Raw genomic sequence first — 20,767 nt, 5'->3', positions numbered from 1 at the left:
ATTGTAAATGTAAACAAGTGAAATGAGAAAACTGGCCTTTGAAGAACAACCATAAAACAGTATTCCCTTAATTTGTAGACAGTGGTGGGAAAGTCTATGCCTCACTGATTTTGAACAGCATGGCTATATCACTATGCATATTTTCTTTCTTTTTTCCACAGTGTGCTTGAGAATACAAAATTAAAAAAAAAAACAGCATCCCTGTGAATTATTGTCCTCAGAACTATTAAGCAAACAAATGAGTATTTCATAGACTTAACGTGACAATGAATTACACATCCAAAACAGGTTGTGTGTGTGGTTTAGCAAAACAAAATTAAGAGTCATTCTAGGGAAGGACATTGCCACAGCTTTGGCATAATTAGGAATCATCATAATCAAATACAGGAAATTGGCACATCTGCTTTTCAGGCTGTTGATCCAACTGTGAGGCTGCCTGTGCACACTGGCACAAGCAGTTCTAATGCAGCTCGATGTGTTCTGCAAAGCTGTCTTTGCATAAATATTTACATAATTTTCTCCAAACACCACTATAAGCAGTTGTTTTTTATCACTCTTTCTCCCTTGGGTTATTATTTCTTCCCATCCCTACTCCTGGTGAAGGAGTGATCACTTTTTTTTTTTTTTTTTTTTTTTTGAGACGGAGTCTCTCTCTGTCGCCCAGGCTGGAGTGCAGTGGCGGGATCTCGGCTCACTGCAAGCTCCGCCTCCCGGGTTCACGCCATTCTCCTGCCTCAGCCTCCCAAGTAGCTGGGACTACAGGCGCCCGCCACTACGCCCGGCTAATTTTTTGTATTTTTAGTAGAGACGGGGTTTCACCGTTTTAGCCGGGATGGTCTCGATCTCCTGACCTCGTGATCCGCCCGCCTCGGCCTCCCAAAGTGCTGGGATTACAGGCGTGAGCCACCGCGCCCGGCCTTTTAGTCACATAATAATTCTGCTAGTTTTCTTTTTATAAAGCGATCTAAAGGATCTCTCAAGTTTTGACGGTTTATTTTACCTTGCTGAAACTAAAGCATATTTTAAAGTGATACATATTTTATACTTTAAAAAATGCAATTTAAAAAATCTAGCATCTATAGCTGGGCATGGTGGCACATGCCTGTAATCTCAGCTACTCAGGAGGTTGAGCAGAGAGGATTGCTTGAGGCCAGGAGTTGGAAACCAGGTTGGACAATATAGTGAGACTCTGCCTTTTAAAAAAAATTAATCTTGTCTATTTTTCAAGCATTGTTCTGCATACAAATGCACAATTGTCCTATTTTTATTATTGTAAGTTGATTTATAACATCTAAATCAAAGCAGATAAACTATTTCATAATACTCTAAATATTTATAAGAAATCTCCAATGTGGAAGTCATATTTTTCCATCTTAATATAAACCCTTTGCCTTTGATGAAGACACTTGGTTACATTTCCTAGTGACCTTGGCACTTGTGAATTTCAGGGTAGTATGGGATACATTTTTATAACCAAATTATTGGATTGTCTACATGAGGAAAGGTATGTTTCTTCTCCTTCCAAAAGCTTTTGAAAGTTACAACTTTTCAATGATTTGCAGATAAGAAGAAAGGAAGGATTCTAAAAAGAAATAAGAAAGAAGTTTCCCTTTATGACTAAGACTCCAAAGCAAATGCAACAAAAACAAAAATTAATATACTTTAATTAATATACAAATTACTAAGTATTGGTAATTACCAGTTAGATGTTGTTAGTTATAAGTATATATGAATGCTAGATTATAAATGAGCTATCTGTGTGAGGTGCTTATTTTAAACTTTTTAGTGAGATTTACATAGTTTGATTTTAGAATATAAATCACTTCTCTTCAATGAATTCTTCTGTTATAGTAAACTATACTGAATCATAAGAATCTTTTCAAGTGATAGTCATAACCCTTTTTCCTCTTTTACTCTGCCGTGCTTAAAACATTGGCTTCTGTTCCCATAGTACTTTCTTATGGGCCCCAGGTGGCTGCTGTGGAATTGGGCTCTGTTTGAGGACCCATTTCTGCTTTCTTTTAGTTTTCTTTCTCTTGACATTAAGTTGGTGCAAAAGTAATCACGGTTTTTGCCATGGAAAGTAATGGCAAAACCCGGGATTTCTTTTGTACCAACCTAATATCTATCTTATCTTCCTTATCCTCCACTCCAGGTTTCTTCTCCCTTCAGTTTTGGAGGTGGGCTGATGATGGCTCCATATCAGTAAATGGGCACTGTCTTCTTATACTTTGTCTGTGGAGGACTCTGGGAACTTAAGTACTCAAAATGATTCAATGAGTCAGAGTCAGATTTAGGAATAAAATCATGTGTATAGTGTTTGATTCATAGTAGACCTATACTGATGACTCATCTAATCTTTTATAACTTTATAGAGTTTATCTAGGCAGAATATTTTTGTATAATGCACATGTATACCTGTGAATATTTTTTAAAGCGTTGTGTATATGTGTATATGTGGTGTGGTGTTGTGTGTGTGTGTGTGTGCTTACAAATTATTGCTTTCCATCTATTAACTAGATATTAAAAGTTTCCAACTTCCTCTTTCCTTCTAAGTCCAATAATTCTGAGTTTTTTCTCATCTTGTTGCCATGGCCTGGAGGTAAACATCTATGTTATGTTAAGCGGTTATGGTTATGACCTAATTTAAAAGCTGAGTAATTGTCACCAATTTCTTTGATTATATCTATATATCACAGCTAGCAATTCAAAAACTTTTCTGCTTGTATTTTTTTAGAGCAAGATTTTTAAACTCCACATATGTCTTATATTTGCATCTTATGATTATTATCATGCTTATTTCTACTTAAACTTACTCTGAAAATATATAATACATACTTCAAAGTTTCAGAGGCAGTGGTGTGTGTTGGAAAGAGCTCTTTACTGGGAATTTAGCATTCATGTCCCGGAGCCCCAGTTTCTCAACTGTAAAATAAGGAAATTACACTACGGAAAAGTTTAGTCAACATTTATTGAACAATTACCGTGTGCCAGGAACTGTTGTAAATGTTGGTGAGAAAAAGAGAGATTCTCAGATGGAGTTTATGATATTATTGGAAGAAGAGTCAATTCATACTACAATAAATCATTAAAAATCTGTATCAGGAAATGCACAGAGTATTAGGGTGCATAAGGGATACATTTATTTATCTTTTTCCAGAGGATGTCAGAGAAAACTTTTGGAGTAAATTATGTTCAATATGAGAATAAATAAGACAGTACTATAAAGGAGGTGGAGGGATACTTAAGATAAATGTCCCCTGATTATATAAAAATTCTATTATTGGGTCATTTCAACTGAATTTATAGGACATCAACAGTTGAGAGAGTAGAATTACTTATCTTTTAGAAATGTAGAACTTTGGACTTAATCTCTAATGATAGTCTTAATTATTTTTAATTTCCTGGTATGTTTTTCTTCTTTAAGAACTCCCTCTGTGCCTGTTAGTTCAGAAAAGGGATGTTGGTAATTTGAGCCACATAATTGAACTAATAGAATTTTCAGGCTGGAAGGAACCTGCAAACTTGTTCAGTCCAGCCCTCTTATTTTGCAGAATGTTTTTTTAGTTATGACAGATTAAGCAATGTGTCTACTAAGTTTTCATAGTCAGTTAGTGGTTGAGTTTTCACTAAATGTAGTTTCTAATTCCTGGCTTAGTGGTGGTTCAGCTACCTCAGGCTTTCTTTTCATAGCGTGAGGATAAAAAAATGCACATTGAACGGTTATTTTATTATTTTTAAAATTTAACTGACAGTAAGAACATATCCATAGTATTTTCCCCAAGTACCAAGAGAAGAAAATTATAAAAAGGAGTAAAGGTGGAAATATAATTGGAATAGGTTTTTTTTTGTTTATTTTGTTTTGTTTTTGGTTTTCTGGTTACTAGTTTCATCATTGTGGTAGTATAAATCTTTAGGATATATTTTGGTGTTATTTACAAATCTATGCTAGTATTTTAATTGAGAAATAAACATTTTTTTAAACCAGAACAACTGATACAAATCTAATTTTCTCTTTTTCATAGTACATTGATTTTGCTGGTATTATCTTTTAGGTTACAGATTATTTTACAAATTCTGTATCAATTCAGTTGGCCAATATGATGTGGTTAAGAGTTCAGGTCTGCATATACAAAATCAACTAAAGAGGCATTAAAGACTTAAATCTAAGACCTGAAACCATAAAAACTTTAGGAGAAAACCAAGGAAAATTATTTTGAACATTGGCCTAGGCAAAGAATTTATGACTAAGACCCCAAAGCAAATGCAACAAAAACAAAAATAAACAAATGAGACCTACTTAAACTAAAACGCTTCTGCACAGCAAAAGAAATAATCATTAGAGTAAACAGATAACCCACAGAATGGGAGAAAACTTTGCAAACTATGCATACAAAAGAAGACTAATATCCAGAATCTATGAGGAACTCAAGCCAATCAGGAAGAAAAAAAACAAGTAATCCCCTCAAAAAGTGGACAAATTACATGAATAGACACTTCTCAAAAGAAGACATACACAATAGTTGAACTAGTTTACAGTCCCACCAACAGTATACCTAATGTAAATGATGAGTTAATGGGTGCAGCACACAAACATGGCACATGTATACATATGGAACAAACCTGCACATTGTGCACATGTACCCTATAACTTAAAGTATAGTAAAATATATATATATATATATATATATATATATATATATATATATAAAGAAGATATACAAACGACCAACAAACGTAAAAAAAATGCTCAACATCACTAATCATCAGGTAAATGCAAATTAAAACCGCAATAAGATGCCACCTTACCCCAACCACAATGGCCTTTTTTTTTTTTTTGAGACAGGGTTCTGCTCTGTCACCCAGGCTGGAGTGCAATGGTGTGATCCTGACTCACTGCAACCTCCGCCTCCTGAGCTCAAGAGGTCCTCCCGCATCAGCCCCCCCGAGTAGCTGGGACTACAGTAGAGCTGGGGTTTCACCATGTTGCCCAGGCTGGTCTTGAACTCTTGGACTCATGCAGTCCACCCACCTCGATCTCCCAAAGTGCTGGGATTAAAGCATTGCTCCTGGCCAAGAATAGTCATTATTAAGAAGCTGAAAAAAAAAAAGATTTTGGCACAAATGTGGTGAAAAGGAAATGCTTATACACTGCTGGTGAGAATATAAATTTGTATGACCTATGTGAAAAACAGTATGGAGAGTTCTCAAAGAATTAAAAATAGATCTACCATTCCATCCAGCAATCCCACTGCTGGGTAGCTATCCAAAGGAAAAGAAGTCATTATATCAAAAAGACACCTGTACACCTTTACCTCATCTATATATGAGTTCCAGGTCTGTCATAATTCTGGACTAATTCTTGACTCAATATTTGCAGGTCATGTGACCTTAAGCAAGTGGCTAAACTATTCTCTATAATCCTCTTCCTTCCTTCCTTACTTCCTTCCTCTTTCTTTCTTTCTTTCCTTCCTTCCTTCCTTCCTTCCTTCCCTCTCTCGCTCTCTCTCTCTTTCTTTCTTTCTTTCTTTCTTCTTTTTTGAGATGGAGTTTTGCTGTTGTTGCCCAGGCTGGAGAGCAGTGGCATGATCTCCACTCACCGCAACCTCCACCTCCCAGGTTCAAGTGATTCTCCTGCCTCAGCCTCCCGAGTAGCTGGGATTACAGGCATGCGCCACCACGCCTGGCTAATTTTGTATTTTTAGTAGAGATGATGTTTCTCCATGTTGGTGAGGCTGGTCTCGAACTCCCAGCTTCAGGTGATCCACCCGCCTTGGCCTCCCGAAGTGCTGGGATTACAGGCATGAGCCACCACGCCCAGCCAAATCCTATTTCTTTATTGGTAAAATGGAGATGATATTGTAATGAGAATTTAGAGAAAGAGGGTGTGTAAAATATTTAGCCAAAGCCTAGAAAAGTGCTTACTGTATGTCAGTTGTCATTATTGTTATGATTCATAAAAAGTTAATTTCTCAGTAAAAATAATGATTGGAGGTGGTTTCCAGAAACACTGCTTGCAGGAGTACTTGTCAAAGCCAAAAAAAAAAGCAAATTTTTATATTTGTAGAATGCACCAAACCAGTTTTGATATTGATGTTATCACTGCTGTTGCTGGAAACCAGATTTAGTTCATGGGTCTTGGCTGCCAGATGAATGAACTGGAGAGCCAAATTTGTATAAGTGGGCCCCTCATGATTCCTGGGAGTGTCCGGAATGTGAGGAAGCCGCAATGTGTGTTACTGTTGCAAATCTCTCTTCCTGCCAGGAATGACATTATCCGGATAGCTTGGCCCAGCCTGGTCATCCCACCCTATTGGCAGCAGGACAACTGTGAGACAGAAACAAACAGCCTCAGCCAGCGAAATCAGACCCTGGGGAAAGTGGAAATGGGGTGCAGAGAGCTTGTGGAAAGATGAATAAAAACAAGGAAGAGGTTTGGGTAGGGATGTGATAAAATAAAAACTGGAATATGGGATTCTAATTTAAAAAGGTGAGATAATATTTTTGAGATATTAATCAAGTTTTTCTTTGCATTCCTTTTTTCCTTCCCACTATCCTTTCTCCTAAATTAATCCTCCACTCCCTCCCTTCTTTCAGAATAATGCTGGTTGGCATGTGGCCAACTGAACTGAACAGATGACACTGAAGACCAGCTTCTACTTTTTCTCCCTCCACTGGTTCCACATATCTACATACTTGGTCACTGAGGAAGCCCCTATAATTGTAGGTAAATATTAGAAAAGGGAATGGGGGAGTCACAGGATTAACTGAAATTGTTTTATTAGTCCAGGGACTTTCTGCTGCAGTAGAAATTCACTAGTTAGAACAAAATAAATAATATGAAATTCTTGAATATCTGAGTTTGAGGATAAGATTCAAATGTGAAACATTTACACATTACATATATTTTTCCTCTTGTCTTGAATTTCCAGATTCTATCTCCTATAGACTGACTGTTGTGTCCACCTAAAATTCAGTGTTGAAATCCCAACCCCCCAAGGTGATGGCATTTGAAAGGTGGGACTTTTGGGGGGGGGTGATTAGATTGGATTAGTGCCATTATAATAAAGACCCCAGAGAGCTCCCTCACTCCTCCTACTGTATGAGGACACAATGAGATGATAGCCATCTATGAACCGGGAAGTGGGCCCTCACCAGGCACTGAATCTGCTGGTGTCTTGACCTTGGCCTTCTCAGCCTTCATAATGATAAGAAACACATTTGTGTTGTTTATAAGCGACTTAGTCTATAGTATTCTGTTATGGCAGCCCAAATGGACTGAGACACCATCTAAAGTAAAAATCATGTAAAATATCTTAAGAAAGATTCATATTTTGTGATACTTGTGAACAAGGAAGTACAGGGAAGTTTCTTATGAGGTTTTCATTCCTGTTCTCTATAATTATACTGCTAACATCGATGCAACATAGCTCCATTTGAAAACAACAATGACAATAACCCCCAAATCTTTCTTGCTAAACTGAACTAAACCTCTAACTGAGGGATAGGTCTTAGCACTCATTCATTTCACAAACATTTACTGAACACCAATTACAGGTCAGGCAGCATGCCAGGTACTGGGAATATGCTGACAAGAGGAATATGCTGACAAGAAGAATATATGATTTAGGGAGAGGAATTGCTTGCAAGAAGACGAGCTAAGATTCCATGTGAAATAAGAGTGATGGGAGCATAGTTCTTACAAATGATTTTTGCATAAGGTTATTTAATTATAGACAAATGGAAATGGGATAATCTGCAATTTCCTCTCTCAACCAACATTTTCATTCCCTAAATAGCTTTGGACGGGGCAAACACACCCAGAATGCTGTGGGCAAGTGTGTTTTCATTGGTTGATCTGGCTTGCTAATTCAAAGTATACGACCTCACTTCTCAATTACTCACTTAACATTCCAGTACATTTTGGGAATAACTGATAATTTGGGAAGCTGCCAAGAAGATGGATGAATGGTAACAGACTTTTCAGATCTAAGAAAGCTGAAACACAACCTACCAATAAGCTAATTAAAATTGCTGAGCTCTGGAAATGCTCATGAATGGAAAGTACTAGGTGTTTCTGAAGGTGAGAAAGCAGGGTGTGGCTGAAAGCAGGAGGATAGGTTGACAGTGTGATAAGGAGGCATTCCAATTCCAATAATACAAATGGGGAAAATATGACAGTTTACATTCTGAAGTATGAGACCCTCAGAACCCTTTTCTGTATTTAACATCCAGAGCACTTAGGGGCAAATATATATTCCCAAGGCAGGAGATTGTAGAATTGTTCTCTGGGCAAATAAAGTCTATGAAAAAAAGACTTGCAGCTATTGTTAGTAATATAAATCTTCTGGGAAGATGGGGAGGAAAAATGTTATGAATGAGTTAAATTTCTGTCTTTCATAGCATGTAGTCTTTAGTGAAAAATCAGGAAATGTCACAGTAAACATGTTATTTGATATTACATATTATTTGAAATAAAGAGATGATAGAAGATGCTCGTAAAATACTGGAAAATAGCTTTATCCATTTTCTTCCTCTAATCAAACATTAGAGGTGGAATAGAAAAATGATAAACGTGTTACATTATAAAAATTTTACAATAAAAGAAATCAGTATAGTACCATGGAGTCAAACATATTTAGGTTCAATGTTCAGCTTCTTCACCTATGAGTTTTATAACTTTGTTCATGTTGCTTAAGTTTTCTTACCTTGGTAAATGGAAAAATAAGATCAAGCACACAGAAAGCACTAAAAAAATGATGCCTTTAGGGTTATATTAAGTGAAATAATGTATTTAAGTACTTACAGTACTAAAGTAAGTTTAATTAATACTATTATGAGAATGCTTTGTGAAAGACGGGAAGAAAAATTAACTCAGAGTAAGGGGAAGAATGAGTATTTGACTCTGAGTTCACACACACACACGTGTGCACACACACACACACTATATACATGGAAGAGGGGGGTAAGAACAGTACAGCTTCTAAGGGCAGTTACATTTGTCCTTTATATTCTCTATTTGTCTTAAACAGACTAAGAGAAGCAATGCCAATTCTAGCAAGAAAGGAGAGAGATACATTTAGGAAATAATCTTTTGTTGACTTGCCTTAACTCCTCTGTGGAACAAGGAGTCATATAAATAAATTCAAAGGATTAATTATTTACAATATTCTTGGTTAGGTACTAGTTTTAATTGTAGAATTGTATGTATTACATTTAATAAAAATACTTCACTTATATTCTTTCACTTGATTTTAATAATTGCTCTGTAGAATAGGTAAGATAACTCTTTACAGTTGCCTTTGTTAGAAGGTAAGAAATGAGGAAGACTCAGTTTTACCCTGGACTAAGTAAAAGAGAAAAAATAGAAGAAAGAAATGGAGAGGAATGGTAAAAAAGAAAGAAAACTACAGAAATTGCCTAAACATTAGCATAGCTAAGGAAGCAAGACAGAGACAATAATTTAGTTATGAGTAACTATTTTTATAACTCCATGTGAGAAATTTTTATTAATTTTCAGTGAGAAGTGTAACTGCCAAATAAACTGAAATACTGATGTCTCCTGGTTTTTACATCCTCTCCCCTGTTAAAAAAAGTTTCCAGGGAAATTAAAATTGGTCAGTAGAAATGCAATCAGAGCACAGTTATGGGATGACCTTAATGGCCAATCTCATTAAATTATGGTGCATGATGTCCCCCAGCACGCTCTGAGGCTGTATTTGCCAACCAACCAGAATACCCATGTCAGCTGGTTAAGGCACTTTTATCCCTGGGTGGTGCTGAAACTGCACTGACAGAAGTGTGCCCTTTGACTTCATGCAGACCATCTGCTGACACTTATTCTCCAGCTATATTTCAACACAGTTGGTGAGGTTAAAGCCTTCTCTTATATGTAATCACATTCCAACCATGCCTTCTTGATAAACATTACACATTTTAAATGAAATTCTAAAAACTCAATTTCTGCAAGGATTAAAAATGAGTAATGTGTCCATATGGTTTTCTAATATTTTCATAAGTACATTAAAAAACACCCAATAATTGACTAAAATGAACTTGACTTCATTTTGATAAGAATGAAGCTAAAGACGATTAATCTATTGGATTAAACAAATATGGCATTAGGAGCATAGGTGCTAGTGTCAGAATATAGAATACACAGTCTGTGACATTCTTTATGATATTGTGTGTACATTTAAGATACTATCAAACTCTTTTAATCACTACCCTTATGGTAGAATCTTTGTTTGTCTTAGCTAGTGAAATGTCACTTCAACAAAACCCAAAGAATTAAAAAAAAATTATCCACATGCTTAGAAAGCAGAAAATAGCTAAATGTGGGAAAAAAGTCATCTTTGCAAGGAAAGGTCGGCAGAAACATATGGATCCCAAGTGAAATTAAAATAAGGTTTCTGTACAGACTAGATACTGTGGCAGATAACGGTGCCACAGGCCAGACAGAAGGTTCCCAAGGCCCCAGGCTGCTTTCTTACTTCTGCTCGGCTGAAGACTTTATCCAACATTATTTTGGTGATAACACTTGTTATACATCCTCTGGATCCTCAGATGCTAAATCATCCTGTAATAGACTTCATCCAGGAAACCTAAAGGCCAACCATATTTCATCATTTTTTAAGTTTCAGTGATTATAAAACAGCCATCTGTACATGTCTGGAAGCATATTTTTATTTGGGTTATTATTTGATAATGTACAGACAATTCAGTCTTCAATCCTCCAATGTGTCTAGTAAAAAAAAGTCCACAGGAAATTTTTATGAGGTTATATTTTTAAGATTCTAATTAATGTACATATGACATCATTTATATTACACAGGAAGAGCATAATTACATAAAATGATAAATAATATGCTTATTGAAAAATATTTGACTCTATTATCTTACTGCATTTTTTAATTTAGCAAATTTCCCATGTGCTTAGATTTGGAGATCATACATAAAAATTCTGCATAGAAAGTTCTGTCCTCCTGAAGCTTTCCATCCAAAACATGCCCTTTTTATTCTTGTTTAATATTGACATATTACTTCTCAATTTGTATCTACTGGATGCTTTTATATCACCCAACAGACTCAAAGTACGGAGAGACTGAGTTAGGTGCTATAAAAGTAGCTTTGAAATTCAGCCATAGCCAACAATCCCTCACCTTAACTACAGACCTTTGAACCTACATGGCAAAAATATCTGACCCTAAGACACCTTCAACAGGTATCTGGCATTCTGCCATTAGATATCATTTGTGATGAGAGCATACATGCAGATACTGTTGGTAAGTTTAGAGATGGCATGGAAGGAAAGGTAATACCTTAAATATTTACATCATGCATATATTAGTGTGAATGTATTTTTCATCAGATTGTTTTCTTTTTATGAGCAAGAAACAAAGGAATAGGTACTTTCGTGGAAGCAGGGGAGAGAGGAGGTGAGAAGGAGCATGGTAGAAATGTGACGTAGGATTGGGAATTAGCAGAGTGTTGAATATTGTTGTTCAGGGGTGGGCTATTCCAATCATGTTCCCAGCAGGAAACAGTTGGAAAATATTCAAATTGGATAATTTAATGGAAAGGTGATCATAAAGAATGGGGTGGGAATAGGTCAGAAAGGAGTAGATCGTAGAAGCAGAGAGCTGTGTAAAGAGGGCTTCCTGATTGAAGCTGTGCCTTTGACAGTGTGATGTGACAGCCAGCCTGGGAAGATACTGTAAAGCAAGGGCCAAGGAAGACCTAAAAACAAAACAAAACAAAACAAAACAAAACAAAAACAAACAAACAAAACTACATGCAGCGTCCATCAAGAGATTTGCACTGAAATTCCTGCTTTGCAGTGTTCTAACTCTTGTACAAGTCATTTGATTCTCTGGGACTCAGTTCTCTCAGCTAGAAGATATTATACCTTTTTCAGAAAGTAATTTTGAGAATCAGATGACCTCATTTCCATAGAAGCTCCAACCACAGAGCTTCAGGTTGAGGGATGTCTAAAGAAATGTTTAATCTGAAGAGGATGCAAAGAAGTTTTTTTCTGAAGCACATCCTAAGGCTAATGCATGGGATGTGATTTTTGTTTTCATCTTTCATATTTTATTTTAGGTTCAGTGGGTACGTGTGCAGGTTTATTTCATGGGTAGATCGTATGAGGCTGGGGTTTGGTGTCCAAATGATTTGATCACCCAGGTAGTGAGCACAGTACCCAATAGGTAGTTTTTCAATCCCCACTCTCCCGCTCAAGTAGGCACCAGTGTCTATTGTTCCATGGAAGGTGATTAATCTGCATATATGTGATCACAGACAGATGTTTTAGAGATACATGTGTATAAATCTGGTGTCAAGTCAGCAAAATTAGAAAGACAGGGTGACAGAAAGGGAGAGAAAAAATACCAAAAAAAAAAAAACTCCAAAGCTTTTGCCCAAATCATTAGGATCAAGAGTATTAAATATTAAATATTAGACACAATTACAGGGTCCACCCTCCTCATAAACTGTGAATGGAATAGCTCCCAGCTTTTAGCACAGGGGTGATTGCAAATATTTTATTATATTTCTTCAGAAATTTAGTTTAGACAGTTAATTTTTTTGTCTACACTGTTGAATTTCTTACTAAGCCACAGCAAGAAGACTTAAAAACAATTTTTGCCTTGTTTCCCGATGGAACAAGCTTTCAGTTTAAATCCCAGCATAGAGTTATGTATAAAAAATGTCAATGTACTTTATGTCCTACAAGTTACTTGTGTAAAAATATTACCAGTTACAAGGGATGATACACATCTTAAGTCTGCATCAGGGAAAAGATAAATTATTTGTTTGATCTCATGAGTTTGGTATTGTGTTATGATACCATCTAACATGAATGCAGTTTAAAATTCTATGTGAAGTCCTCTGTTTTGACTGTTAATTCAGGGTGGAAAACCATTTCGATAGAAGTGTCAAGGAAATGATGAATGGTGAAAATATCAAGTTGGTTAGCTAATAGTTTTGACTGCCACATGATTCTTCTCGTACTATATCATGTATGAGCAAAAAAGGCATTAATTCAAAGATCAGAAATTCAATGAGTTTTAAACTGCTCACTTCAAGGTACATTGAATTTATCTGCAATAGACTCTACATATTGATGCTTGGGTCTACTTGGCTCCTTGAGTTTATATTTAATATTTGTACCACAAACGAGAAATCATTAATGAACACCTTTAAAATACAAATTTTCAAGGTCAGAATTTCGAAAACAACAGCTGGTTGGTTGGACCATGCATTGCATTTTATTTCTCTATATTATTTCATTAGATTATCAATCAAAAAGTTTACTATAATTTCAAAATAATTATTATAGTCATTTTCAGCCTTTTCTTAGTCTAATTGTGGTTAACATGAGAGCAAAATCTTTTGGACAGAGAGGAGATGGGAATATGATCAGCATAAGCAATACGGATATTGTACTGTATGGAACTGAGACATCCCAAAAAACTAGCTTGTAAGTAGCATTTTTGGAAAGTAAATCTTGTTCTCCCAGTCATACTCTTCATAAACCAAGGGCCCTTCTTGTGAAAGACATCTTTTGAGGAATTTTCCCAGCATATCATCTCCAGGAAATGTCCTCTCAGTGTCAGGTGTGGGGTCTTGCATTAGACTCCAGTCTCATCCACAAGTCCTTTATGACCCCCTCTGTAGTTTCCATGGGACCCTTTTAGCTTAGTAATATGTTTCCTTTAGTATTTATCTAGTTCACATTGGCATCTGTTACTAAAATCAAATTTCTTTCTTTCTTGTGGGTAAACCCTATGGATTGAATTGAAAACTTTGGTTTAGAAGTGGCAGGCTCATTATCTACTGTCATGACCTTGTGGGACACTGTTCCAACAGTGAGATTCCCCCAGGGCTCTTCTGTCTCAACCTTCCCATCCACTGTCTCATGTACAACCACCGCCCAGTCTCTGCTGCTTTTCCAGGCACAGCTGACCTTCAGACTACACACACTTCTCTGAGGCATGGAAATTCCCTTGCCTTCCCACCCTCAGTGTCATTCTTGTGATTCTGCTTTTAAATGTACAATTTTTGGATCCTTCCAGGTTTTCATATTTCACTGAGCACAAAATAAAAAGCAATACAATAATAGTAAATTTTACATGTTTAAAAAATAATTTTAAGTGCTTTCAGCTCTTCCTCATCTTTCACCTCTAATTTGTCTTGCCACAGCAACCTGATGATTCTTCTAAAAGAACAGCTCTGCTCAAACCCCTCTGCCATTTAAATTTATTACTGTATCTATTTTGTCTACACAAAAATGTTTGCACACTAAAACGTTTTTAGCTAAGGTAGACTTTGGTAAACTTTTAAAATTAAAGGCCACATAGTAAATATTTTAGGCTTGTGGGCCACATGGTCTCTGCCTCAACTATCTAGCTCTGCTACTGTAGCACAAAAGTGGTCACAGACCGTATATGAACAAATGGGCATGGCTATGTCCAATAAACATTTTTTTTTCTTTCAAAAACAGATAGCAGGCAGCATTGACCTACAGGCTCCTACAGATTGGGCCTTACCCAGGTCTGTCAGTTTTATTTTCTATTTCACCCTTCACATACTCAGGGCTCCACTGAAATTCAGGTTCTTTTTGTGTTCATTAGGTACTCTGTACATTCACTGCTCTATGCTTCTGTTCCCTGGGATGCGGCTGGGGGAGGATATAGGAAGACTGGTGTTTCTCCAAGTATAGTTTACATAAGAGGTGTCTTTACATTAACTTTAAGGTAATATGTTGTCATGCTGCTTGTTAAGTGTATGATGGCGATATACAGGAAAAAGCATAATAAAATACATGATTAAAACAATAGTAAGACTTTGATACAGGTAATACTATGAGAGAGGTGAGAAGGTAATTAAAGGGGTGCACCTTTTTAAAAAAATATGGGTGCCTTTTTCCCTATCTCAAGTAATGATGTCAGCCTTTCAACTCCCATCCTCAGCTAGAAACTGGTTATGCTTTTTCTTTCTAGGGTGTTTTCTTCCCTTCACCTGTGATAATCTTAAAAACATGACCCATCCTTCAAGATGCACATTAAATTCCCTGTCCTTCATAAACCCTTATTTCTCCAAGTGTAAGTGGTTTCTCCCTCTTCAGAATTCGTATTGCATTCCATCACATCATTTCAGTCTTTGTATTATGGTTATTTTTAAATGTAGCTTAGCTCAGTAACTAGAAGATCCAACTAGGATATCTCACTTGCTAGACTTTGCATATTCCAAAAAGCACAGATCAGTGCTTTGCAGAGAGCAGGCATTAAATGATTAATAAATTTTTAAAATTTGTAAAAATGAGTTTCTTCAAATTAAAGACACTTTTGTTTGATGAAGAAGTGTTAACTCTGTATAAAGATCAGGGTCAAAAGCAAACCCCTGATTTACTAATCTTTAAAAAATATCCTCAGGCACTTGTGGTCCAGTATTGTTGAACTTGCGTTGGTATTTTTGCCAGCCAAATTTGCTACATATGAAACCCATTGGCCATTTGGGGATTGACAACTTTCCTACTGCTCCTTGCAAAGAACTTCCCAAGAAAACTGGGATAGATAATCTATGTGCCATATGTGCTGTTAAAATAAAGTTGGATATGCACTAATCAAGTGGTTTCCATGAGAAACACAAGGCCTCCAAAATATAAAAAATCTTTTTAATTGTAGTACTTATGGTAGTCACTCCAAAGAGCAAAATTACATTTCAAACTTTTTTATCTTAAAAAAGGAGTTAAATATCTAAAGCTTAAATATCTTGGAGCAGACAAACTGTGACTGTTAAAAATGTTATATAAACAAGTTAGAAATAAGCAAAAAAAGTTTTCTCTCTTTTATGCTGCCTACAAAGTCTTTAAATTAGTGCTTAGACTAAAGGAGATTTTTTTTTTCTTTTTGAAAGTGATGAAGACATAGTTGCAGGGTGTTGCCATGGTTTGGACATGGGTTGTTTTTCCTCACCGAATCTCATGTGGAAACCTGATTTCCAGTGGTGTTGGGAGGTGGGGCTTAGTGGAAGGTGTTCGGGTCTTGCGGGTAGATTCCCTCATGAATGTCTTAGTGCTGTTCCCCAGGTACTGAGTTATTACTCTTGCAAGATGGAATTGGTTCTCAAGGGAATAGATTTGTTTCTGTAAGAGTGGGTTTTTGTAAAGCCAGGACATCTCTCGGGTTTGGATGCTCTTTGCCTGTGTTCACATCTTCTTTGACCTTCTCTTCTATGTTTTGACACAACACAAAAGCCCTCACCAGGAGCTAGGTAGATGCTGGTGCCATATTTCTTGGCCAGCCTGCATACCCATGAGCCAAATACACCTATTTTCTTTATAAATTACCCAGCCTCAGATATTCCCTTATAGTAACTTAAAATGGACTAAGATAGCCACCCTTCTCCCATGGTAGATTTCAGGCAAGGGAAAAAGGATAGCCAACCTTGAATTCCCTTAGCTGAATGCATTGGCTAAGACCATCATCATTTAGGTACCATTCCCAGGATAGCTCAGTCATTTTATTTGTTTGTGTCTTTTGAAGAAGATGATGGCTAGGAGGAATTAGGATTGAATACCGTTAATTTTTAAAATTGATATAAAATGTTTTTATATATTTATGGGGTATGGGTAATATTTTGGTTCAGCATACACCATATAATCATCAAACCAGGGTAATTAAGATATCCATCACCTCAAACATTTATCACTTCTTTTGAATACTGTAAATTTTCAATGCACTCAGCATCAAAAGATAGCGGGTTAAAAAACAAAAATGTGTTTATCAAAAAGACAATTTATATAGAAGCACCTTAAAAAACTACAAATTGTCATTTGACTTTGTTTCTATTTTTATTTTCCAAGTTTTATATGATCACAACATATAAAATAAACGTTTCTATTATAATTTAAATTCCTCTAAGTTATTCTGTATTGTAACCTATTAGCAGTAGATACAAATATGCAATTTATTTGTTTAATCTGGAGTGGGATACTGAAAGATTGCTTATATCCTTTGCAATTTTAATCATTCTTAGCTGTAACTTGTTTTGTCTCCCTTCTGAGCTGTCCCTTGCTGTCTGTAATCAATCTCATTCTTTGATTTTTTTAAATTTAAAATCCCTACTTCTGTGTTCTGTGTTTAGGTAGCTGAAAAGATTTTTACTTGTCTTGCAAAAATCTCGCAGAAGTTTATTGAATCTCTGCCTCCTCCTCCTCCTCCTTCTTTTTCCTTTTAAATCTAATTTTGCTTCCCTGCCTCCACCTCAGAGTATCCAAGTTTACCAAGGAGAGGAATAATATCAAGTGAATACCATGGATAATTAAAAAATCAGTTACTTATCTCTTCCCTTCCATTAATAACTTTTTATTGTAATTATAACTGCTAGTAAAATGACTAATTTAAAGTTCCTAGAGATTACAGAAGATTAAGACCTGTCAATGTCTTTCAAAAACAGAATCTATTCTAGCTAATTTAAATGAAAGGAATGTATTAAGAAGGATAAATAACTCAGATTCATTTGGATTGCCGAAGAAGAAGAGTGAGGACTGAATTTCAGGAACAACTCCCCAATCCACACTCCAACCCTTGGCAAGGGAGGTGCTCGCTCTGCCATGCACTGCCTCTGAAGCAGCAAAAAAGACACTCCATACCCTGCCTCTACCCTCATGTAATTGGGTTCTGATTCAAAATCTGGCATGAGTATATTTGGGTGGATTCCAAACGATGATGAAATCTACCTGTAGGGCAGTCTAGGAAACGTCCATTTTAAAGCTTTCTCTAACATGTAGAAAGTCATCCTAGAGGAGAGTTGTATCAGTATTAATGAATTCATCCACAATGACCACCGTTTAAGTCACCAGTTCTTTTCTACTTTCTTTGTTATCCATCCCACCCTCTGCTGGGGTACTGATAAGCAGCAAAATGGCTAGAATTTAAAAACTGGGTTATGAACCAAGTGGTGTCAAGATACATCAAGGACCTATGAGAAGAATAGCTACAAGATACATTGAGATATAAAGGTAAGACCAATGTGAACTGAAGCAATTAGGTAAGGTTTCATAAAGAATTTTCACCTTTCCAGAATCTTTAGACAGAATTTAAATACTCAAAAAAGTATTCCAGCCTTCTGCAGTAACACAGCTCAGCAAATGTTTAGTAAAACCTCTATCATACGTTTCTAGTAAATCACAATTCTTATCCTTAAGAAATTAGTAACAGATTGATAATAACTATCTGAAAATACTATAATGTAAATGAAACAAAAACTTTTATGGCTGAAATTGGGGGTATGGAATGGGGATAATTAACTGACTAGCAGTAATGATGAATTGAAATAGTTATATGGAGGAGAGGGTATATGAAATAAGCCTAGAGGGTGAATAGTATTTTGACTACATGAAATGGAACTTGAAGCCTGAACAGTATTAATTTTTTTAAATAAGTGTTTAATTTATGGATAATTTTAGATTTAAAACGATTGTAAATATACTAGAGAGTTCCTGTATGAGTTGTAAAAGGGTTGTAAATACACTAGAGAATTCCTTTTGGCATTAACATCTGACATAACCATAGTACCTTTGTTATAACTAAGAAATTAACACTGGTACAATGCTACTCTAATAGTATTGGCACTAGTTAATACTATTAACAAAATCACTTTATTATAATTTCACCAAACTTCCCCTAAAATAGACTTCTTTTGTTCCACAATCAAATTCAGGATACCATACTACGTTTTGTTGTCATTATTCCTTAGTCTCCTCTTCCTATATAAATTTTGAAATGATCCTAAATTTACAGAAAAATTGCAAGTAAAGTACAAAAAAAGTTTTTCCTGAACCATTTTTGAGAATGAGTTGTTGACATAATGGCCCATCATGTCCAACTACTTCAGTGTTATTTCATCAAAAAAGGAATTCTTTCATGTAACCACAATATTTTTCCAGTTGTCCCAATAAAGTCCTTTAGAGCAAAATTATCCAGTCCAAAATCACATATTACATGTAATTGCCATATCGCCTTGGTCTTCTTTAATACGAAACAGTTGTTCAGTTTTTCTTTGATACATTGAAGAATACAGGTCAGTTATTTTGTAGAATGGCTTTCAGTTTGGGTATACCTGACGCTTTTTCATCCATCTATAGCAGGAATATTACCAAAGTGATCTTGTATTCTTCTTATTACAACCAATCAAATAGAATATAACTTAGTTTTGTACCAATTTTGGTGATGTCAATTTTGATAACGTGATTAAGGTAATGTCTGAGAGGCCTATCCTATGTAAAGTTACTTTTTTTCTCTTTGCCATGCATAAGTATTTTGTGGAGATAAATTATGTAATGTTCTGTTCTATATAAAACTTTGAATTTATTCATATATTTATTTACATCTGTATGGATTCATGGTTTTCTATTTTACCCAATATATTATAATCTGTTTCTATTACCATTCATTTTTAAAAACTTTTAATCTAGAATTAATTAGAGATTCAAAGACAATTACAAAAAAAAAATACAGGAAGGCCCTGAGAATCCTTCATCCAGTTTTCCCCCGTGGTAACATCTTAGATAAATATACTGCAAAATCAAAACCAGGAAAGTGACATTACTACAATTCACAAAGCTTATTCAGATTTCACCAATTTTACATGTGTGTATAGTTATCTGCAATGTTATTATTTGTGTAACTTCATATAACCATGAAAGCAATCAAGACACAGAACTGTTCCATTAAACTGGGTTCCCTTGAATTACCCCTTTATAACCACCCCTATGTCCTCTCCTCCGAAATCCAAAACCCCTGACAACCACTAATCTAATTTCAATTTCTATAATATTATTTCAAGAACACTATATGAATGGAATAATAATGCATATAACTTTGTGAGATTAGCTTTTTATGCAGCATACTTCCCTTGAGATGGATCCCAAGTTGTTGCATGTGTCAATAATTTGTTCGTTTTCACTGTTGAGGAATAGTTTATGGCATGGATGTAGCACACTTTAATCATTTACCCACTGCTAGGGTTTGAATGCACGTGTCTCTCCAAAATTCATATGTTGGAAATTAAACTGATGGTATTAAGAGGCACGGCCTTTGGGAGGTGATTAGGTCTTGAGGGCTTTTTCCTCAGGGATGGGATCAGTTCCCTTATAAGAAGGTTTGAGGGGGCAAGTTCAGCCCTTTTTGCCCCGCTTTCTGCCATGTGAGGATGCAGCAAGAGGGGCCATCTTTGAAGCAGAGAACCCTCACCAGACTCCAAATCTGTTGGTACCTTGATCTTGGACTTCCCAGTCTTTGGAGCTGTGAGGAATATATATATTTAATCAATTATCCAGTCAGTATTTTGTTATAGTGGCACAAATTAAGACACTCACTGAAGGACATTGGGTTATTTTTGGTTTGAGCATATTATAAATAAAGCTGCTATGACCATTTATATACAGGTTTTTGTGTGAACCTAAGTTTTAATTTCTCTATAATGTCCACTAATGCAATTGCTGGGTGATATGGTGAGTCCATTTTTAGTTTTTAAAGGAATTGCCAAACTATTTTCCAGAACAACTGTACCATTTTGCATCTCCACTGGCAATGTATGAGATATTCAGTTTCTCTACATTCTCATCAGCATTTGCTGTTATCACTATTTTTTATTTTGGGTTTTAATTTGCATTTTCTTAATGGCTAACAATGTTGAATAACTTTATGTGTTTATTTGTCATCTGTATATCCTCTTTGGTGAAATATATGTTTATATCTTT

The 20,767-nt window shown here is 35.8% G+C and overlaps 1 long non-coding RNA gene across 1 annotated transcript; it reads left to right on the top strand.

The window, feature by feature from the left end:
* The first annotated feature begins 6,265 nt into the window (after window positions 1-6,265).
* Window positions 6,266-6,853, top strand: LOC124900724 (uncharacterized). Its single transcript, XR_007058160.1, has 2 exons — window positions 6,266-6,490; window positions 6,598-6,853. It is a non-coding gene; the product is annotated as an uncharacterized LOC124900724 (long non-coding RNA).
* The last annotated feature ends 13,914 nt before the right edge of the window (window positions 6,854-20,767 follow it).

This window comes from Homo sapiens, chromosome 4 (genome assembly GCF_000001405.40).
Source record: "Homo sapiens chromosome 4, GRCh38.p14 Primary Assembly".
Taxonomy (NCBI): domain Eukaryota; kingdom Metazoa; phylum Chordata; class Mammalia; order Primates; family Hominidae; genus Homo; species Homo sapiens.
The sequence above is the reverse complement of the archived record's forward strand: the minus strand, read 5'-3'. Positions and strand labels throughout refer to the sequence as shown.